The 23,433-nt window shown below is 38.7% G+C and overlaps 3 protein-coding genes across 6 annotated transcripts in view, besides 3 other annotated features; 1 reads left to right on the top strand and 2 right to left on the bottom strand.

Annotated features, from left to right (window-relative positions):
- The window catches only part of ENPP3 (ectonucleotide pyrophosphatase/phosphodiesterase 3), a 110,109-nt gene that overhangs the window by 50,583 nt on the left and 36,093 nt on the right, over positions 1-23,433 (top strand). For all 4 annotated transcript variants that reach the window (NR_133007.2, NM_005021.5, XM_017010932.2 and 1 more), the window contains one exon: positions 5,613-5,740. Coding sequence is in view for 3 of the 4 variants with exons in the window: in NM_005021.5 (NP_005012.2) it covers positions 5,613-5,740 (128 nt within the window). In the remaining variant the exon portion in view is untranslated. The remainder of the gene's footprint in view (positions 1-5,612; positions 5,741-23,433) is intronic.
- Positions 654-783: an enhancer, noted in NCBI's record as "active region_25068". NCBI's record gives its function as "activates an Ori minimal core promoter by ATAC-STARR-seq in GM12878 lymphoblastoid cells {active_cell/tissue: GM12878}" and the evidence as "EXISTENCE:reporter gene assay evidence [ECO:0000049][PMID:35858748]".
- On the bottom strand, positions 11,760-13,517 carry OR2A4 (olfactory receptor family 2 subfamily A member 4). The gene has a single exon (NM_030908.2). The coding sequence runs from the start codon at positions 13,515-13,517 to the stop codon at positions 12,585-12,587; it is 933 nt and encodes a 310-aa protein (NP_112170.1). The 3' UTR covers positions 11,760-12,584.
- Positions 12,617-13,202: an enhancer, noted in NCBI's record as "H3K27ac-H3K4me1 hESC enhancer chr6:132021641-132022226 (GRCh37/hg19 assembly coordinates)". NCBI's record gives its function as "activates a minimal SCP1, AML or CMV promoter by ChIP-STARR-seq in primed H9 embryonic stem cells {active_cell/tissue: H9 hESC(primed)}" and the evidence as "EXISTENCE:reporter gene assay evidence [ECO:0000049][PMID:30033119]".
- Positions 13,203-13,788: an enhancer, noted in NCBI's record as "H3K27ac-H3K4me1 hESC enhancer chr6:132022227-132022812 (GRCh37/hg19 assembly coordinates)". NCBI's record gives its function as "activates a minimal SCP1, AML or CMV promoter by ChIP-STARR-seq in primed H9 embryonic stem cells {active_cell/tissue: H9 hESC(primed)}" and the evidence as "EXISTENCE:reporter gene assay evidence [ECO:0000049][PMID:30033119]".
- On the bottom strand, positions 20,557-23,133 carry CTAGE9 (CTAGE family member 9). Its single transcript, NM_001145659.1, has one exon. The coding sequence runs from the start codon at positions 23,131-23,133 to the stop codon at positions 20,800-20,802; it is 2,334 nt and encodes a 777-aa protein (NP_001139131.1). The 3' UTR covers positions 20,557-20,799.

Consider the following 23,433-nt stretch of genomic DNA (forward strand, 5'->3'; position numbering starts at 1 on the left):
CGACTGTAACTATTTGAGTATGGGGGTATACAGTTACAGGCTTACCTTGCTTCACTGCATTGTGCTTTCTAGATGTTGCATTTTTTTACCAATTGAAGGTTTTGTGGCAGCTCTGCACTGAGCATGTCTATCCAGTGCTATTTTTTCAACAGCATGTGCCCGCTTCATGTGTCTGTGTCACCTTTTGTTAATTCTCACAGTACTTCAAATTTTTCATTATTATTATATGTGCTCTGGTGATATGTGATCAGTTACCTTTGATGTTACTATTGTAATTGTTTTGGGGCACCATGAATCCTACTCATAGAAGATGGCAAACTTAACAGATAAATATTACATGCGTGCTGATTGCTCCACAAACTGGCTGTTTCCCGTCCCCCTCCTCGCTTCTGGACTCTTCTATTCCCTGAGGCATAACAATATTGAAATTAGGCCAATTAGTAATGCTACAATGGCTTCTAAATGTTAAAGTAAAAGGAATAGTGACACATTTCTCATTTTAAAGCAAAAGCTAGAAATGATTAAGCTTAATGAGGAAGGCATGTTGAAAGTTAAGATGGGCCAAAAGCTAGGCCTGTTGCATCAAACAGTTAGCCAAATTGTCATAACAAAAGAAAAGTTCTTGAAGAAAATGAGAAGTGCTATTCTAGTGAATACATACATAATAAGAAAGTGAAACAGCCTCATTGCTGACATGGAGAAAGTTTTAGTGGCTGGATAGAAAATCAACTAGCCACAACAGTCTTTTAAGCCAAAACCTAATTCAGAGCAAGACGCTAACTCTTTCTTCAACTTTATGAAGGCTGAGATGGGTGAGGAAGTTGCAGAAGAAAAGTTTAAAGCTAGCAGGGGTTTGTTAGTGAGATATAAAGAAAGAAGTCTTCTGGCCAGGTGCGGTGGCTGACGCCTATAATCCTAGCACTTTGGGAGGCCGAGGCAGGTGGATCATTTGAGGTCAGGAGATCGAAACCAGCCTGGCCAACATGGTGAAACCCGTCTCTACTAAAAATCCAAAAAAAAAAAAAAAAAAAAATAGCCAGGCGTGGTTTTGGGCACCTGTTATTCCAGCTACTTGGGAGGCTGAGGCAGGAAAATTGCTTGAACCCGGAAGGCGGAGGTTGCAGTGAGCTGAGATCACGCCACTGCACTCCAACCTGGGCAACAGAGTGAGACTCTATTTAAAAGAGAGAGAGAGAAAAAAAGAAGAAGCCTTCTCCATAACAGAAAAGTGCAAGGTGAAGCAGCAAGTATTTGTGGTGACATAGAAGCTGCAGCAAGTTATCCAGAAGATCTAGCTAAGATCATTGATGAAAATGGCCACACTAAGCAACATATTTTCAATGTAGAGGAAACAGCCTTCCATTGGAAGAAGATGCCATCTAGGACTTTCATAGCTAGAGAAGAGAAGTCAATGCTTGACTTCAAAACTTCAAAGGACAGGCTGACTCTTTTTTTAGGGGCTAATGCAGCTGGTGACTTGAAATTGAGCCAATGTTCATTCTGAAAATCCTAGGGCCCTTACGAATTATGCTCAATCTACTCTACCTGTGCTCTGTAAATGGAACAACAAAGCCTGATGACAGCTTATCTGTTTATAGCATCCGTTTCCTGAATATTTTAAACTCACTGTTGAGACTTTCTGCTCAGAAAAAAAGGTTCCTTTCTAAAGATTGCTGTTTATTGAGAAAGTACCAGGTCACCCAAGAGTTCTGATGAAGATGTACAAGGAGATGGATATTTTCATGTCTGCTAACACATCTATTCTGCAGGCCATGGATCAAGGAGCAATTTTAACTTTCAAGTCTTATTCTTTAAGAAATACATTTCATAAGACTATTGTCATAAATAAGGATTCCTCTGATTGATCTGAGCAAAGTATTATAAAGTGAAAACCTTCTGGAAATGATTCACCATTCTAGATACCATTAAAAACATTTGTGATTTGTGGGAGGTCAAAATATCATCATTAATAGGAGTTTGGAAGAAGTTGATTCCAACCCTCCTGGATAACTTTGAAGGGTTCATGACTTCAGCAGAGGAAGTAACTACAGTCGTGGTAAAAATAGAAAGAGAACTAGAATCAGAAATGGAGCCTGAAGCTGTGACTGAGTTGCTGCAATCTCATGAGAAAACTGGAACAGATGAAGAGCTGCTTCTTACGGATGAGTAAAGAAAGCGGTTTCTTGAGATGGAATCTAACCCTGTGAAGATGCCATAAACATTGTTGAAAAGACAACAAAGGATTTAAATTATTCCATAAACTTAGTGGCTAAAGCAGCAGCTTTGAGAGGACTTGAGAGGATTGACTCTAATTTTGAAAGAAGTTCTACTGTGGGTAAAATGTTATAAAACAGTTTCGGATGCTACAGAGAAATACTTTGTGAAAGGCAGGGTCCACTGATGCAGCCACCTTCATTTCTGTCTCATTTTAAGAAATTACCACAGCCACCCCAGCCTTCAGCAACCACCATTTTGATCAGTCAGCAGCCATCAACATTGAAGCAAGGCCCTCTACGATCAAAAAAGATGACAACTCACTGAACGCTCAGAGGATCATTGGCATTTTAAGCAATTAAGTAATTTAAAATTCAGGTATGTAGTTTTTAGACATAGTGCTGTTGCACACTTAAAAGATTACAGTATAGTGTAAACATATTTATGTGCACTGGGAAACCAATTCATATGACTTGCTTTATTGTGGTGGTCTGGAAGTGAGTTCAAAATATCTCCAAGGTATGCCTGTGGAGTAAAATCTCTGAGGATGGAGTGCAAAGGACTGACGATAAACGCTGAGCAAAGAGTGGTTAATATAATCTGGGACCCACTGCAAGTTTCAAGTAGAATGCCCATTAGAGCAGAATTTCTTTACAGTGATGATCACTCTGTTTTTCTCTCAACACCTTCTAGTATGCCGATCTTGAGTAAAAACTGTGGACATTCTTGCCCACCCCTTCTGGTGAAGTGTATACTTGCAATGTGTTCATGCTGAGTGGATGCATAGTTCAGCATTTTCAACATGTGGACTCTCTAAATCCATATATGGTTTTCTTTTTGTTTTGTCACCTCATGATCCCTATAGCTGAAGCTCTGTTGGTGAAGAAGGGCAAATCTCTAATAATCCCAGTTGTGCAAGGGGATTGAGTATCACAGTCTTTGGAAATCCATTGCATGGCATCACAGATATGGACTGGACCTAGAGTTACAAAGGCCCAAAGAAATGGGCTACCATTTCACATAGTCCATCCTTCCCAAGGAAATATTTCATGTGGTAGTATTCCCAGCAGTGCTGTTCCCTGGGCCTATATTGAGCTTATTCTGGACAGAATTAACCAAGCATGAAGTGGCAACTTTTTAAGTTCTGCAGCACTCTGACTACATGAGAGACATCACTACTATTTATTCTGAGATAAAATGTCAAAAACGGCCGGGCGCGGTGGCTCATTCCTGTAATCCCAGCACTTTGGGAGGCCGAGGCGGGCGGATCACTTGAGGTCAGGAGTTCGAGACTAGCCTGACCAACATGGTGAAATATCTTCTCTACTAAAAATACAAAAATTAGCCGGGCATGGTGGTGGATGCCTGTAATCCCAGCTACTCTGGAGACTGAGGCAGGAGAATTGCTTGAACCCAGGAAGCAGAGGTTGCAGTGAGCTGAGATCATACCGCTGCACTCCAGCCTGAGTGATAGAGCAAGACTCAGTCTCAAAAAAAAAAAAAGAAAGAGAAAAAAAAAAGTCAAAAATTGTATCTCAACTCTGTAGACTTCATTCCAAATTCTCAAATGCAAAGAATCACCGGTACTTCTTCACAGGTAGGTAGTGAGCCTCCGGTTTTCTCTGGATTTACTCTGGCTACACAAAGTCCAGGAAAGTGTGACAATTACACACAGGGACAAATTATAGTTAGTCCCTTGCATCTTGGGGGAAGCTGCATACTCAGCAGCTGCCAGGTTGTGCCTGCCTGGAAGTTACAAAAATATTGGCTTAAGAAAGAAGTAATGATAAATAAAACAGTAGAAGCATAAGAAGCCTAGAAAATATACCAAAATAGGCAAGAAAAAACTGGCAAAAATATGTTTGCAATATATACTTTTGTTTTTCTTCTTTCATTCTATAAACTCTCCTTGCTCTCCCATTGTCTATATTTTGTTTAAATTTTGTTTGTGTAAATTATGTGCTTCATAGTTTCTCTTATTTTTCTTATCTAAATTGACCCTGAGATAATAGTGACACACACTTGTTAATATATATGATATATTGTGGTTTAAAATAAATGAGAAAATGAGGAAATAGGAAAAATTTCGTTTCCTTTGTTTATGGTTTTTCTTCTTGTTTCTCAAAATGGTCATGAGGGAAAGTTCCTTTGTAGTTCTATTTCTCATTACCTCATTTTTCTTTTACATAAATAGATACCAATGTGATTTGCATTTCTACAATTTTAAAATATGCCATACAGTCATAATTGTTAAAGAAACAAAATTTTACTCCAATTTGTAAGGAAACCATGATTGTTTTACAAATAGGGAGACTATAATAGGTTTCAAAAGCCATTGACTTGATCGGAAAACTAAGCAAATGTAGGTTATTTAAAAGATAAATTGAGTCTGTTGGAAAGTACTTTTTTGTGCAATTAAACTACTTTTTAATTTTTTTACTCATATCTACTAATATGGTATATATATTTATATGTAATTTAGACTCAAAAGTTGTCATTATCACTCTAAATCTAGATGTCTGTCCATTTTCTGTTAAAAAAGAGGGTAATTCATAGTGGTTTAATATATATATAATATATGGTTATATATATTACATATAATATATAACCATATATAGTATATATTATATGGCTATATTATATATGATATATGATATATGGTTATATATGATATATGGTTATATATGATATAATATGTAGTTATATATGATATATGATATATGATATGATATGTATATATGATATGATATATATGATATGTGATATATATGATATATAGTTATATATTATACACTATATATGATATATAGTTATATATTATACACTATATATGATATATAGTTATATATTATACACTATATATGATATATAGTTATATATTATACAACTATATATGATACAGTTATATATAATATATATGGTTATATATGATATATAGTTATATATAATATATATGTTTATATATTATATATTATATATGGTTATATATTATATATTATATATTATATATATGGTTATATACACACACACACACACACCCCCAGGAATAAAAACTGAAAACATTAACTCATAATTTAAATCAGATTTTTTATTTTTTTGAGAGAGTCTCACTCTATGGCCCAGGCTGGAGTGCAATGGGGTGATCTTGGCTCACTGCAACCTCCACCTCCTGGGTTAAATCAGATTTTTAATTGCAACCTGATTATCATTGCAACGGCAAAACTAATAACTAGGGGGATCTGACTACATTGATAATAGGTTTAATATTCCTATTGTATTAGCCAAGCTGAAATCCCCTTACTTTTAAAAGGTGCTTCATAAATTGATGTAGAAGATGAACTTTTAAAATTAATTTGCATATCTTATGTATCATAAAGAAATATTTACTTGCTTTTCAGTGCCGAAAACCTGATCAGCATTTCAAGCCCTATTTGACTCCTGATTTGCCAAAGCGACTGCACTATGCCAAGAACGTCAGAATCGACAAAGTTCATCTCTTTGTGGATCAACAGTGGCTGGCTGTTAGGTTCGTGTATCTGTTTACTTATCTCATAATGCCTTTAATAACCATTTGTCATTATAAGTCTACTTAACCTTACCCTGCTATTATCATCACTGTGAATTTTCCTGAGCATTGACATTTTCTGGCCTTTTTGTATGCTATTTAGCAGTTCTGCATTTGAAGTGATCGTTATTAGATTGCTGATTTTAGCATCCTTATCTTAACAATATAGATGAGAATGAGGAGTAAGGCTAAGAGTGTGCCCAGGGACTGTAAGTGCCAGCACCTTCCTACCCCCACTATGCTGTCCATTAAGGCAGCAGACAGATGATATCAGCTGTCTTTCAGCCTGATAATGAGTGATTGATTACACAACTCTTTAAGACCTTTGTCATCTTTGTGGTTTTTATAAAAGAGCACATATAGGGCTGTAAGACCAAGCTAATGAATTAGTTGTAACATTTATTTCTTATTACTATTTATAATGGTAATTTATGTTGATTATTGAAACATTTGCAAAATTTAAATGTGCTTAGAGAAAACAGAAACCACTTTTGACTTTGTGCATGCTATTTAGCAGTTCTACATTTCAAGTGATTGTTATTAGACATTATGACTCACTCCATCTTAAATAACCAATTAATCCATTGATTCAACGTTTTATTTTATGCTTGCCATGTATGCACCAGGCCCTGTTCTAGGCATTTGAGATACAGATCTGTCTCCTGCTCTCATGTACTGTAGTGGAGAAAACTGAAAATAAGCCAGTAAACAAATAAATATACACTTTGTGATAGCTGATAATTCCTATTTTTGTATTTCATACCAGCACTTTTTTCCTTATGCATAAGTAGATGTAAAAAGTATCTGGACTTTATGGCATTTTTCTAGCCTATTTAATATGTATGAATGTAATGCCAGGGGGATAGAATGACAATGGCAATACAGTGGCTAAGAGATATGTTTGACAAAGAAAAAGGAGATGACACTTTGGGAGGCCAATGCGGGCAGGTCACTTGAGGCCAGGAGTTCGAGACCAGCCTGGCCAACGTGAAGAAAAATACAAAAAATTAATAAAAATACAAAAATTAGCCAGGCATGGTAGCACCTGTAATCCAAGCTACTGGAGAGGCTGAGGCAGGAGAATTGCTTGAACCCGGGAGGCGGAGGTTGCAGTGAGCCAAGATCGCACCACTGCACTCCAGCCTAGGCGACAGATCAAATTAGTATTTGATTCCATCAAAAAAAAAAAAAAAGGAAAGAAAGGAAAAGAAAGGAAAAGGAGATGAAAGAACACAAGGGACAAGGGACAAGGGAATTAGGCTCCAACATTCAGGATCAGGAACTGGGGATTTGGCTAAGCCTATTCTGTAAGATAACCTGGAAACCCCTGTTGGGCCTGAGAGTGCAGTTTCACACTGGTTCACTAGATGGTGCTGACCCCTCTCTTTGGGATCGAAGTTTATTAGCCCTTTGTGTAGATGGGTGGCTGTACTGTGGCTCAGGACATTCTCTAGAAAGTATTTTCCTTAAATATGTGAACAAAATTAAGCTCTACTAATATTAAGTACATACAACTGTTAGTAATTTAGGTATGTAATATATAAATAAATATATGTCCAAGTTGGGGTACATTCTCCAGATATTTACTGTTAAAAGTCTAACACCAAACAAGTTAGGTCACTGGTACAGAAGGAGAAAGAGCTGTAAAGTGAGAGCTCGCCCACCCAAATACCTCTGGGTATCATGTATTAATACTCAATCTCAAATGGTGAGCTGTTTATTCTTTTAAAAACCAGCACTGAAATGTTAAAAGAACTGCAACCCAAGAGTTCATGGCCAGGCTCCCCACATAGCTAGGTTGTGGGAACTTGGAAAAATTAATATCTTAGAGTCTAATTTTTCTCATCTGTAACACAAGATTAGCCTAGTTTTATTATTTTCTTGCCATTAACATACAAAGTAAACTAACTTACATCAAAGGAAATTTTGAATACAGCCTTAACAAGAGAGCAAGTGAAGAATCTAATCTGGGCCAGGCACGGTGGCTCACGCCTGTAATCCCAGCTCTTTGGGAGGCTGAGGCGGGCAGATCACAAGGTTAGGAGTTTGAGATCAGCCTGGCCAACATGGTGAAACCCCATCTCTACTAAAAAAATACAAAAATTGGCCAGGCATGGTGGCGTGTACCTGTAATCCCAGCTACTCGGGAGGCTGAGGCAAGATAATTGCTTGAACCTGGGAGGCGGAGGTTGCAGTGAGCCAAGATCGCACCACTGCACTCCAGCCTGGGCAACAGAGCAAGACTCTGTCTCAAAAAAAAAAGAGAATCTAATCTGATTAAATCCTGGGTTCACTCTCTCCAACTCTTAAAACACAAGCCTCCAGCTACTTATTTTCTAGTGAAAGTACATCATTTTTAGTAATAATGTGCATCATTTGATAATTAGGTTAGGTCCCCTTTGTACAATTAAAGCAAATTTCAACAGTTTGTATAATCCATTTTCATCATCATCATCTTTATTTTACCTAAAATGTGTTAGATCTTACTAATTTGGGGAAACCTGATGTTTTGATATAGTAGAAGTATTAAGTGCTTTTTTAAAAGAACATGAATGTTAGCTTTTAATTTTGGATCAGCAACTGACAAATAAATTTCAGGCACCTTTTTAAGAACTAGAGATAACCAACAAAGTACCTGACCAAAGGATCTTTGCCCAGGTAGGAAGATAACAGCTATAATCAGATGGGATAACTATTGCACTAGAACCACGTACAAGGCTCAAGGAAGCAAAAATTACAGACCCAGGTGTGAATGTCAAGGAGCATCAGAGAATGCTTCCTGGTAGGGGTGGTTGCTGATCGGGGTTTGGAAGACTTATGATGGGATAGGATACGTGTTGCCATACAGCAGGTCTGCCCTGTGCAGTCTGTCGGTTGTACAGTGGCATCCTGCCAACAAGGTGAGTGGGAGTGGAAATGGAATCTTTGCTCAGCTCACCAAGCCTTAACAGGGGCTGCATTGGCAGGAGGAAGGGGATTCGTTTTTTGTGGTTGTTGTTGTTGTTGTTTTTGCCAAAAGTGCCATCTGCTTGCCAAGCCTTGAACACTGCCAGGCCGCGTCCTTCAAAGGCACCTTTTTTTCTCTCAATGATCTACCCAGAGCACCTTTTTTTTTTTTTTTTTTGAAATGGAGTCTCGCTCTGTCGCCCAGGCTGGAGTGCAGTGGCGCGATCTCGGCTCATTGCAAGCTCCGCCTCCCAGGTTCATGCCATTCTCCTGCCTCAGCCTCCTGAGTAGCTGGGACTACAGGCACCCACCACCACACCCAGCTAATTTTTTGTATTTCTAGTAGAGACGAGGTTTCACCATGTTAGCCAGGATGGTCTCAATCTCCTGACCTCATGATCCGCCCTCCTTGGTCTCCCAGTGCCGGGATTACAGGCGTGAGCCACCGTGCCGGCCTGAGCACCTTTTTAAAGCCAGCAGTAGCTCTAGGGCAAGGAAGGGTAAAGAGAAGGAGGCAGGTTTCCAGATGGAAGAACTAGATTCCTGCAGTTGCAAGTAGTTCTGCATTGCTGGAGCACTGAGTGTATGAAGCCATCATGTGTACAAAGGACCTTGTCTGAAATGACTAAGGAGTGTGACTTTGATCTTGAAGAAAGTAGGCTGTTGGTAGATACAGGTGGCTTGAGGTGAATATAGGGATATTTGCTTTTGGAGAGGTCCTTCAAGATGCTACATGGACGAGGATGGTCTAGCGCAGTGGTCCCCAACCCTTTTGGCACCAGGGACCGGTTTCATAGAAGACAGTTTTTCCAGGGTGGGGGCGGGAAGGGGGGGTGGTTTCAGAATGATTCAAGCGCATGACGTTTATTGTGCACTTTATTTCAGTTATTATTACACTGTAATAGATAATGAAATAATTATACAACTCGTTATACTGTAGAATCAGTGGGAGCCCTGAGCTTGTTTTCCTGCAACTAGATGGTCCTATCTGGGGGCGATGGGAGACAGTGATTGGTCATCAGGCGTTAGATTTTCGTAAGGAGCATACAACTTATATTCCTTGCATGGGCAGTTCACAATAGGATTCACCCTCCTATGAGAATCTAATGCCACTGCTGATCTGACAGGAGGCGGAGCTCAGGTGGTAATGCTTACTGACCCACCACTCACCTCCTGTTGTGTGGCCTGGTTCCTAACAGGCCACAGACAGGTGTGGGTCCATGGCCCAGGGGTTGGGGACCCCTAGTCTAGTGTGAAACAGGGAAGCCTGTTAGAAAGGTATGTAGTGACCCATTCAGCCCCAAGGGAGCCCATGAAGCCATGGGGATGGTGAAACTATATAGTGCATCACCGGGAAGGTATTATGGTTAACTTAGAAGCCACAGTTTCTAGGATAGTCTTGCTTTTATCATATTCTGTCTGATGTTTGTTCTCATTAGAACATAGATTTTTATTTCCAGCAGTGTTAAATAAGATTAGGGGTATGTGTGTGGGTGTGTGTGTGTGCGTGTGTATGTGTTTTGAAGGGAAGATTCAGAAGTTCTGAAGGCAGGATGATCAATTTGGGAAATTGTTCAAGGGGCTTATTAGAACCTACCTGAAGGGAACGTTTTTCTAGGACACAAAACACCGGTGCAAATCCACTGTTGAAAATGTTCTCCAATGTCTATTGTGAAATGGAGAGATTTTGAGTTCAGCTCCTTTCGGGAGGGGAGGAAAGAATCCTCTCCAAGGCAGCTTCCTCTAGCAGTTTCCTGCCTCTTGTGGGATGAGAAGATTTGCTGTCTAAGATATTATCATATTTATTTGTATTTTGCTGAGTTCTTTTACTGGATGTAAGGCAGTCCAAATGTTATTTGGAAATCTCCTATCAATCAATCATGCAATTTAGATAGAAGTTAGTTCCATACAGTGTGATCTCTGACTTGCTAAGGTTTAGAATAAACTCAAAGGGCAATGTGGCACAGTTATTAAGGTTTGAGAGTATGCCCATCTGTGCTCTGACTCTACACATCCACTGCGAGAAGAAACATCCATATAACACCAAAAACACTATATGAAAATCTTGTTGCACAGTAGGCCACCCATCAATATTACAGCTTTTCTTTTTCTTTTGATGTTCCAGGTGACCTGCAGGAAATGTAGAAATCAGGAAACTGACATACAAAAGAAAAAGTTAGTAGCAAATGGAAACAACTTTATAAAAATATAATATGGTATATAGTATAAAAATTATACTACAGTATACTTTTTACTTTATAAAAAGTATACCATAAAATAGTTTTAAAACTATTTTTATACTATATAAATAGTATAAGCAGTATAAAATAGGCTGGGCAGGATGGCTCATGCCTGTAATCCTAGCACTTTGGGAGGCCGAGGCAGGTGAATCAACTGAGGTCAGGAGTTTGAGACCAGCCTGGCCAACACGGTGAAACCCTGTCTCTACTAAAAATACAAACCCTGTCTCTACTGAAAATTAGCTATGCGTGGTGGCACATGCCTGTAGTCCCAGCTACTTAGGAGGCTGAGGCAGGAGAATTGTTTCAACCCAGGAGGCAGAGGTTGCGGTGAGCCGAGATTGCACCACTGCACTCCAGCCTGGGCTATAGAGCAAGACTGTCTCAAAAAAAAAAAAAAAAAAAAAGGATAAAATAGTTTTAGGACATAGTTTTATATCTAACATGATATGACACTGAGTTATTGTGTAAAAAGTTATTTTAAAATATAAAAGTAAATTCTTTGAACTAAGACAATGAGAAATTAAATATAAATGTTTAAGACCAAACTTAAACCTAGAAAAAACATCATCTCAAAATGACATGTTTCCCATGGCATAAGAAGCTGCTACAACTTTTAAGTGTGTAGGTGGTGGATTTTGAAATCTTTCTAGATTTTTCTTTCTTGAGAAATCTGGGTTTATCTTGAAAACCCTGAATTAGAAAAATTAGATTGATTTCATTCAGCGGCAAACACAGGAAGATGTATACTGAATCATATTTCTTAAAAATCTCAAATTTAGAAGATTGTGAGGTTGAATGAGGTCATCTCCTGAAGCTTCTATAGCAGGAATGCCGATCCATGATGAAGGACAGGATTGCATTTATTTTCTTTAGATGATCTACCATTGAACAGTAGAGACAGGGTCCCTCACGGTCTGTATCCAAACAGAACCCGGATTTTTACAGACTGATCGAGGCATAATGCTCAGAACTACATCTCTTTAGAGGCTCACTTTGCAAGGAAAAAAGAAATCATTCTGCCCTAGAAGGGGGCTGTAGGAAGTATTCACAATGAGTCAATTAATATCAAGATCTCCTGTTCCAGGAAACTGTTACTAAGTATTACAAAGGAAATTTTATGTGCTCACATAAGTTTAGAAAACACTGGCTTAAAGCTGGTATAGAATTATTCTTTCCTAGAGAAATATTTACAGCATTCACTATGCTAATATGAATTGTGATCCCTAGACAGAGGCATCTGATGTGAAGTAAGTCTCAAACTTATTTGACTATAGAACTTATTTTTAAAGTCCTCTGAAGGGACCAGTGTTTTGAGGAAAACATTATGGGAGGTATGGGACTGGATCAAAAGCTAATGAGGATATTGTAAGGGGTATTGTCCTGGTGTGGAGTGGCTGCAGCACAACTTGAAGAGATCAATTTCTAGAATTTCATCCCACATCTGCTGAAATCAGTCATTTAAAGGTAGGGCAGGAGATAGCTCCATTTTAAATAAATGTCTCAGATAATTCTCATGTCCATTGAGGGCAGAGGTCCCACCAGTGCAGAGATGGGTTAAGAACCGCTCAATGATGTAACTTCCTAGGTCACTGTCAGTCACAATGCCATAATCCTTTTCATAAAGCCCTTTCTACTCCCAGCACTCTCTTCAAAGTATTCTTCACTTCTGAGTTCCTAAGACTACAGATAAGGGGATTGAGCATGGGATTAAAGAGGCTGTGAAACAGCAGGAGATATTTCTTCTGCTCCTTGGGGTTCCCATATCTGGGTCCAACATACATGATAATGGCTGTGCCATAAACGAGTCCAATCACACAGAGGTGGGAGAAGCAGGTGCGGAAGGCTTTCCTCTGAACTTCCCTTGATTGGATCTGAAGGATAGCACAGAGGATGCACATATATGAAACTACAATTGTGGACAAGGGTCCCACCAGCCCAGAAATTGCTCCGGCCAAGACCATGTTCTCATTGATGTGGGTATCTGCACAGGCAAGTTTGAGAACAGCCAAGATTTCACAAAAAAAGTGATAAATTTTCTGGGGCCTACAGAAGGGTAAAGGTAGAAGTAACACAAGATGAATCAAGGATAAAAGGACTCCAGTGGTCCAGGAAGTCACCGCGAGGGTGATGCAGACTCTCCAGGTCATGATGGCCAAATATCGGAGGGGGTGGCAGATGGCCACGTACAGATCATAGGACATCACCACCAGGAGGAGACATTCTGTGACAGCAAAAGTGGAAAACAGAAAGGTCTGCATCATGCGGCCCGCAAAGGAGATGGGCTTGGCTGGATGCAGGAGGTTCACCAGCATCCGGGGCACCGTGTTGCAGGCGTAGGCGATGTCGACGACCGCCAGGTGTGAGAGGAAGAAGTACATGGGGGCGTGCAGTCTGGAGTCCAGTGAGATGAGCCCCAGTATGGTCCCGTTCCCCAGCAGGGTGAAGACGTAGAACAGGGAGAAGAGCCCAAAGAGGAGCATCTGAATCCTTGGGCCAACGGGAAATCCCAGTAGGAGGAACTCTCTGATGGATGTTATATTGTCTCCCATATCCCTATGACAGAGGAAATCAAGTTAATGCTCATGGTTTAGGAGAAGTGTTTAAAAACAGATTCATTTTAACTTGTTCGGCACTCTTTGGTGAAGTAGAAAAGTGTTCAGACAGCTGCAGTGAGTTTTTGTGTTTTTAAATGAATGCTTCAAGACAATTTGGTAACGCTAAAATAAATGTTTAAAAAATATATGCAGGCCGGGTGCGGTAGCTCACGCCTGTAATCCCAGCACTTTGGGAGGCCGAGGCGGGCGGATTGCCTGAGCTCAGGAGTTCGAGACCAGCATTGACAACACGGTGAAACCCCATTTCTACTAAAAATACAAAAAATTAGCCCGGCGTGGCGGCGTGTACCTGTAGTCCCAGCTACTCGGGAGGCTGAGGCAGGAGAATTGCTTGATCCCAGGAGGCGGAGCTTGCAGTGAGCCGAGATCGCAACACTGCACTCCAGCCTGGGTGACAGAGCCAGACTCTGTCTCCAGAAAAAAAAAAAAAAGAAAAGAAAAAAAAAACGCGTGCACACGTATACATAGGTTTCTTTTTTATTACGTTAATTTTTTAATAAAGGCTAAAATTTAAAAATAAACATGTCACATATTAATATATCCTTTTGGTCTTTTTTTAAAAAAAATTTGGCTCAGGCCTTTCAGGGATGAATGTCACATGTCAATGTAGTACACAGTTTTTGTTTGATTCAGTGAGCTATCTCATATCCTTCAAATAAATTCTTCTTTTCCTTGGTCGTATTATTCAGAGTTTTTCTCTGTTATGTTTCAGAAACAATGAACACTAACTGATACACATGTCAAAGTCTTAAAACCACATTAAGTTTAATCTTAAAGTGGAAGGTTTAATTAAGGGCGGGCTATACTAAGGTTCGACATACCATCAGCCAAATACACCAGTGGTCATTCACCTCTTAAACTTTCCACTCTTGCACTGATCATCACCTCCACAGCATATATCTCACAAAATCTTTTCTTATCCAAGTGTAAAGACTTATTTTTTAGCCCAGAACATTATTTTTTGTTATTTACTTTCCCACAATGTTTAGATGAGCATTTATGTGAATGACTGAATAGATTTGCACTGTGTCATTATCTAAACACGAAAACAGGATCAGTAACTTTTGTTGGATTTGGGCTTACTATTGATAAACACTCTAGAATACACAGTTTTAAGCATTGTCTATGCAGGTGATTGGCAATAGTTCGATGAATTTATGAGGAATGCTGCAGAAAGAGTCTCTGAATTCTCTGATTGAACTCAGGCCTCCTTGATCCCACAATTAAAATGTTAGCATAAGCATGATATTGTCATTTTTGCTTAAATTTTATTCTCATTTTTTATGTAAAATTATATTGTCTTGGAGATAGGAAGGATGAGCAATAATCCTCCATTTAAATGTCCATAAAATTATAAATTTAATCCTGCAAAACCGACTAAAAAGTATTTCATTTGCATTGGATTTTTCCTACCACCATTCCAAGGATAAGTATTATGCTCATGTTGAAAAAATAAAATAATTTAGTTATTTATTGATTTCTTGTCATTTATTTCATGTTGTCCTGAGATTGGATCTAAACTTTGAGCTCCTAATCATTGCTCAGATTGTGTGGCCTCGTAAGATTGTGCGTAATAAGTAAACAAGCATCTGTACACTTGTTAACTTAATGAGCTTCTGTATGTGACACTTTAAGCCTTTTTAAAAATTAAGTGCTGGGCTATGCTTGGTGTCTCATGCCTGTAATCTAAGCACTTTGGGAGGCTGAGGAAGGAGGTTCGCTGGAACCCAGGCATTTGAAACCAGCCTGGGCAGCATAGAGACCTCATCTCTTTAAAAAAATTTTTAAAATAGTAATTATATGAAAAAAAAATTTTAAAGAAAAAAAGTGCTGGTCTTTTTTGTTAACGTTGAACATTTACCAGAGTCAGTTGCACACAGATATTTCTTGAACTTAAAAAAAGCTACCAGCCAAAATAACCATTAACATATTGATTGCTTTAATATATTAATATACTGATAGATAATATGCTGATATCTATTAATATATTTTAGTCATATTATCCTATTATCTAAAACTATTGGTGAGCAAAATTTGAGCATTAAGAGAGTAGAAATGTACTTTTGCATGATATTAAAGTGTGACGGTAAAAGCAAACAAGCAATGAAAATGACCTTAAATTATATTTGAGCAGAACTCACAAAGGCAGTTAGGAAATCCAGGTGTCTAGAGATGACTGCTGTGTAAGAACCTAGATAATCTTCATATAGAAAAGGCAAACATTTCTACAGTGTGGCTGAGTTTACTGATGGTGCTGGGAACTCTGCTGCCCATCTGAGAACTGCCAAGGAAGGATCTTGCTTCTTCAAGTGCTTTTGAGAAGGGAAGGTGTTATTAAGTCATCACCTCCACAGAGTACCTTCCAATTATCATGAGAGCTTTGTGTGACGCATGAGAAAATAGGCTTCACTTGCACCAGCATGATTTCCATAGAGACATGAAGAACCCAACCACTGTTATTCTTCTAGGGGCAGAGAACTGAGCTTCTGTCTCATTCTGTCTCTGAGGAAGCCACAGTGATAAAGAGAATGAGACTAAGGCAAGAACAGAAAATGCCTTTGTAACTGAAAGGATACATATATTATCTAAAGTAATATCCTGGGACCACGTGGCTATCACAGCTACCAAAATATGTGAATTTGTTAGAGTTTCATGAATATTTATGCTATTCCTTCCCCAAACATTCAGAAAACACTTGGGAGATGCAAAGATCCATGTCTAGGTTTGTTTGGCGGTTAAAATAAAACCTTGACATTAATTCCTGCAGTCATTTCTTTTAGTGTAGTCTGCTTTCCCAAATACCCAAAAGCTGTTGGGAGAATAAACTTGAATTCCAAGGTCTTAATCATTAGGTCATTTTACATAGAAACTCAGACACTTTATTTTTAAGCACCAATCTGTAGATGTTGGAGATTCATTTTAAATAATCTGTGGGGCTCATTGACCTGTCTAGAAGAAGAATGGATAAGGCATAAGGATTGAGCAAAATTTACTTTTGAAAATTTTCTTTTTTTTTTTTGATAATATCTGGTCCTGCCCTTATGGGAAGGATAAAGCTCTGTAAAAGCACAGGGCCAGCTCCTGTTTTCTGAACCCTTTCTATGGATGGGGATGAATCTATGTATTCTACTTATCAGAGTAGGTTTACCCTCATGGATTATATTTGAGGTCCCACATCTGAGTGGTTGACATATTGTGCCAATATACCTAGCCAAAGTGCCCTTGCATTAGGCCTGGCTTGTTTACTAAGGTATCAGCTGGTTGGAAGGACCTAGGAGACTGTATGTATAAGCTGAGAGAGAGGCATCAGTGATATAGGGATCTGGGCCAACTGTTCATTCAGCCTACTTTTGTCTTTTGCATTTTCTCTTGCCCTAAAACATATTGCATCCATTATAGGATAGATGGTTGCAGTGACCATTCAGTCTTATGACTTGGTAGATCTAATAGCACTTCAGCTCAAGTTGGACAACTCCGGATTTATACTTACTTGGCATGCCTTTCTCACTTAGCTTAATAATTTCTAGCTTTTAATTTAATGACGTTCACTTGAACATTTAGAGGACATTATAGGGTGGTTAATTGGCTTAGCTTCAACATTGTTGTGTCTCAGGGACTAGGGAGGCCAGAAGAGGAAGAGAGAGAGGGAAATGGCCTGTCGGTGGAGCAGTCAGAACACACACAACATTTATCAATTAAGTTTGCTGTCTTATGTGGACGTGCTTATGCTGCCCTAAAATAATTACAATAGTAACATCAAAGATCACCTATCACAGATCATCATAGCAGACAATAATAATAAACCCATTTAAAATACTGTACAGATTATTAAAATTTGACCTAGGACACAAAATGAGATCATGCTGTTGGAAAAATGGTGCAGATAGACTTGCTTGAGGCAGGTTAGCCACAAAATTTTAACACAATGGAAATGCAATATCTATGAAGCACAATAAATTGCAGAACGATAAAATGAGTTATGTCTGTATATAGAAATAGAATTAATTTGATTGTGTTTATCTTAAATTCTGTGACCTTAATGGACTCACTTCTTAATTTAAGGAGGTTTGTAAAATAGATTTATTTGGATTTCTATGTAGAAAGTCATGTCTGTTGTAAGTAGGGACTGTTCTATTTTTTCCATTCTGATCTGTATGTCCTTTAATTATTTTCTTGTCTTATTGCAGTGTATAACTTCTAGCACTGTTTTGCATAAGGGTGATAAAAGCAGACATAGTTCCTTTATTCTTGATTTTAGAGAGGAACCATTCAGTTTTTCACCACTAAATATGATGTTAGTATAGCTATGTCCTACATAACACTTTGGTCGGTGATGGACTGCATATATGAGAGTGGTCCCACAAGATTATAATGGGGGTGAAAAAATCATATTGCCAACTGATGTCATAGCCGTAATAATATTGTAGCACAATGCATTACTTACATGTTTGTGGGATTGCTGCTGTAAACAATCCTACTGCACTCCCAGCATGGTTAAAAGCAAACAACTATGTATTTTGCTATGCATTTACTACACTCTACTAAACTTTTTGTCATTATTTTATTTTATTTTATTTTGGAGGTGGAGTCTTGTTCTGTTGCCCAGGCTGGAGTGCAGTGGTGCAATCTCAGTTCACTGAAACCTCTGCCTCCTGGGTTGAAGTGATTCTTGTGTCTCAGCATCCCAAGTAGCTGAGATTATAGGTGTGCAACATCATGCTTGGCTAATTTTTTATATTCTTGGTAGAGATGGGGTTTCACCATGTTGGTCAGCGTTTTCTTGAACTCCTGACTGCAGATGATCTGCCTACCTCAGCATCCCAAAGTACTGAGATTACAGGTGTGAGCCACTGTGCCTGGCCTTTGTCATTATTTTAGAGTGCACTCCTTTTACTTATTAAAAAAAGTTAACTGCTAAACAGTCTCAGGCAAGTCCATCAAGAGGTATTCCAGAAGAAGGCATTGCTATCATAGGAGACGACAGCCTCATGCATGCTCTTACCCGTGAAGTCCTTTCTGGATGTTCACACAATGTCAGAATCACTTGACCGCACATTTCTCAGAACGTATCCGCATCATTAAACAACACGTGATTGTATAATGTTAGCTTTTTGTAGATGCTTTTTATCAAGTGGATGAAGTTTCCTCTATTCCTGCTTTATAGAGAGCTTTTATCATGAATGGATATCGAAATGTGTTAAATGTTTATTATGCATCAACTGATATAATCTAACTTTCCTTCTTTTGTTTGTTAACATGGTGGATTATTTTGATTGACTTTTTGAGATTTAATCAGGTTTGTTTTTCTGGAAACAATCCCCCGCTGGACATGGGTAAATTTTGAAAAATATACTATAGAACTCTATTTATCAAGTAAGTTATACATATCTTTATATATATATATGTATATATGTGTGTGTGTGTGACACACACACACTCTCTCTCTCTCTCCTGGTTTTGGTATCACTGTAATAATAGCTTCAAAAAATAAATTGGGAAATGCTCTCTCTTTTACTGTTTTCTGGAAAAGATTGTGTAGAATTGGTGTTAACTTTTTAAAAACATGTTAGAATTCTCCAGTTAAACCATCTAAGCATAAATATTTATTTATTGGTAGTTTTAAAATTATGAATTCTATTTTCTTAATGGTTATAGAGTTATTCAAATGATCTATTCATGCCTGGTGAGTTGAGTTAGTTTGTGTTGCAGGAGGAACACTGCATTTTGTCCATTTTGTCTATTGTCTAATTTATGTGTGTGGAGTTGTTTGTAATATTCCTTGATAGTCCTTTGTTATGTGTGTTTATGTCTGTAGTGATATCGCCTGTTTCATTATGATATTTGAAATTTGTTTTTTCCTTTTAATTTATGCTTGAGTTTGCTAAATTTTATTAATCTTTTAACATAGCTATCTCTTTGTTTCATTGATTTAACCATTGTTTTTCTCTTGTAAATGTAAGTGTTTTCTGTTCTTATCTTCATTAATCCCCACCCTCTACTTGCTTTGAGTTTATTCTGCTCTTCTTTTTCTAGGTTCCTGAGGTGGAAATCTATTGCTCACTAGAGACTTTTCCTCTTTACTAATGCGTGCATTTATTGCTCTAAGTTTCCTTCTCAGTACTTTGATATGTCACAGTTTCATGTTTATCCAGTTCAATGTATTTTTAAATTTTTCCTTGAGACTTCTTTGACTGATAGATTATTGTGAAGTGTGTTTTTAAATTTCCAAATGTTTAGGGATTTTCATATCTTTCTTATGCTGATTTCCAATTGGATTCCCTACAATGATTTCTGGTTTTCATCTGCTCTGGATGATTACTATCTCTTTTAAATTTGTTGTGGCGAGTTTTAGGGCCTAGGACAGCTCTATCTTGCCAGGTGTTTCGTCAGCACTCAAAAAAAATATGTGTATTCTGCTGTTACTGTGTGGAATATTCTGTAAATGCCAAATAGATTCTTTTGGTTAATGGCATTTTGAGTTGTTTTATATTCTTGTTGATTTTCTTTTTTTTCCTCTTTTTAAAAACATGAAATGCTTCACAAAATTTTGTGTAATCTATATTCAAGAACCGTTTTAATCTTGTTGGCATCATTCTGATTTTAGAAAGTGCTGCCAAAGCCAACACTCCTTGCTGATTTTCTGTCTAGTTCTATCAATTATTGAAAAAGGCATGAGGAAATTTCTAACTATAATTGTGGATTCATCTATATCTCCTTTCAGTTTTCTTTTTTTAAAAAAATCAATGAAAATTTATTAAATTAAGCATAAAGTTACTTTCACATTTATCTACAACCACAGTGAATACAGTTCTTGGCATGAAGACACCACAACCTTTAGAATTTAAAGCCTCCTCACCTGCAAGATTACATATATAAAACTCCCACTATTGTTTCTCTAAGAGTGGATTAGTTCACCAAGTTAAAAGTTATATGATCTAGAATATAATAAAATGGAAATGATTTACTCATAAGATTCATATTCAAACCATCTTTATTTACAAAATACTATCCTGAGAACTATTATTCCATTAAACTTCAATTTGAGAAAAGTGCAATCACTTAAGTAACAGCAGTTACTTAAACTGAAAATGAGATCAGTCAAAATTACTTTTGAAGAAAGCAACAATATTGTCAGGTGTCTTGCTGTGGTTCTGGATGTCCAGTAGCAGGCTCCTTTGAAGGCGGAATCAATCCTGAAGGGAACTCGCTTCTACCTTCAGAATGTGGGGTTGGGGTAAAATCCAGGTCTCGGATGAAGGTAAGGAGGTAAACCCCTCGGTGGATAGATGTTTCTCATTGCAAATGGAGCATGTGGTGGACCTGGGAAATCCCTTGGTGGAAAATAACCTCGAGAAGCTCCAAACATGGTTCCTGGAGGAGGTGGGGGGAAAGGAGGTCCTCTTCTCATGAATGGGCCCCTTGTATCCACTGGAAACAATGGACCGCTGATTGGAGCAAGAGGTGGAGGAATAAGGCCAGGGCCAGTTGCTTCATTTTCAGCAGGGAGAGATGAATCAGGCACATTTAAATTACCAAGATCATCTTTGGCATCATTTCTACTGGATTCCATTTCTGAAGGCATTGACCTATCCATTTTATCCAAAGAAGTCATTTTAAAACTTCTGGGTTCTGCTGGTCCAGACAGTCTTTCAGAATTAGAATAAAATCTGTCTTCCCTTTGTGGAGGAAGAGTTGAATCAGGATATGATTGCCCTGGTGGAGGAAACATCATCCTACGGTCCTGTTCCACCGGAGATGACAGGGACCCAGTGTCAGAAGGAGCCCTGTGAGGATCGATTAACCTGTCATAGCTTGGTTCTCCTCTTTCATTGGTAATCTGATGGTCCAGGGGATTCCCTGGGCTGCTTGGGCCTCTTCCTCCTCCCCCTGGAAGCACAGGTGAGAGTCTGAGTGGATCCTCCAACAAAGTTTGAGGAGAGGGAAAAGCTCTCGTTTCAGATGAAGGCCGACCCAATGGTGAGGGACTACATGGGGAATGCTCTCTGCCAAATGCTGTATTTGAAACATCGAGTGCATTAGGATCTTTTTCTAAAAGTTCAAATTTCAACTCTCTTTCAGTTAATTTTTGTTTGTTGTGAGCATTTTCTTTCCTTAAATCACTGAGGTTTCTTTCAGCAGTCCGAGCTGCCAACCAATTATCATGTCCTCTTTTCTCGTAGGAAATAACCTGCTTTTGATAAAAATGAACAGTTCTCTCCAATTCTTCTTCAAGATCTTTGGCTAGCTTTCTATAGGTCTCCAGCTCTTCAGTGGCATGGCTGATCTTTTCTTCCACTCTAGAAAGCTTCTCTTCTTCCTCTATTCGGTAATTTTCCTCCACTGTTAATTTCCTGTAGAGTTTCATTTCATTTTCTTGATAGAATTCAGTCATTATTTTAAGTTTCTGTTGAAGCTTCTGATTCTCACTTTCAAAATATATGTTTTCTGATTGCAAAGATGCTTGTTGAGTCTGAAGATTTTTAATATGCTCTGTAAGCTCTTCCTTTGTTTTGTCCACTTCAGATAACTGAATAATAATGTGGTTTCTTTCTCCTTCTAAGCTTTTTAAAGAAACATTTAACTTAGCAGCATGAATCAGTTTCTTCAAAGCTCCTTTCGGAGGATCATCTAAGTTAGCACCATTTTCCCATTGACTGTTCACTTTTAATTCCAGGTTATCATCATCCGTTGTGTCTTCTTCAAGCACAGCAGCCTGATCTTTCATCATTGGCAAGTGTCCAGTCAGGGTCTTGATGTGATTTTCTTTATCATTCAGAACTTGTTCTGCGTGTACTTTGGAGTCTTCAAATGTTATTTTCTGTTTATTAAGTTCACTCACTTGTCCTTTCCATACTTCAGCTTCTTGCTGAAAAAGCTGTTTATGGCTTGTCTGAAGTTGAGAATTTTCATTCAAAGCATCTTTTATTGCTATAGCCCGTCGTTCTTCACTCATTTTAAATGTCTTGCAGATGATTTTGGCTTCAGCTATTTGTGATTTGAGGGATTTTGACTCATCTTCTAGAGACTGTATACTTTTTGAAATATCCGCCATCAATTCATCTTGTTGAGAATGTTTAGATTTCTCTTCTTTTAAGTCTTTTTCTAGACAGAGGATTTCATCCTCAAGTTCAGAATTGGACCTGCTCAGCTTTTCACAGGTTGCCTCCAAACTTCGTGCTTCTTCTGCTGCCGCCTTCTCAAAGCTGGCATCCTCTAAAGATGACTCTACTTCATAGCCTTCATACTCTTTTTGAATAAGGCTAAACTTTTCAAGTAGTTTACATTTTTCTTCAATTAGTCCAGAAAGCGTTGCACCAAGTTTTTGCTCTCTTCCCACATAAAGCCGACTCCTAACCGATCTAAAACTTCTCCACAAAAAAAGGAGAACAACAAAAAATCCAATAACAGCTGCACATACCACCAGTTCCGATGGAAAACCATAAGGATTCTCATCTGGTCTCATACTCTCAGGTAGTGCTGCCACAACTCTGCCTAGCTCCTCCAGGACCAGCCCCAGGTAGGGCTGAGGGGTAGCACCAGGCTCCTCCATAGCGTCGAGGCTGCTCTGGCGGTCACCGCAGTAACACTGGCCACAACAAGCGGTGGAGAACACGCAGCCTTGGGTCTGGAACCCGAATGCGCACGTGACAACCAACCGGAGCGGACCACTGTGGAGCGGGCTGCGGGGGGAGCTGGGGAACGCGGGCACCCACAGGCCTCACAGGCCCATGTTGTCCCCCACCACCTCCCCTGGCCCTCTTGTTACACTTTACATCCTGAGGCAGCGCTGGTCTGAGCCCGGCCCGCCTTAGTTCTGGCAGTTTTCACATCACATATTTTGAAGCTTTAT

This window comes from Homo sapiens, chromosome 6, assembly GCF_000001405.40.
Source record: "Homo sapiens chromosome 6, GRCh38.p14 Primary Assembly".
NCBI classification, from domain to species: Eukaryota; Metazoa; Chordata; class Mammalia; order Primates; family Hominidae; genus Homo; species Homo sapiens.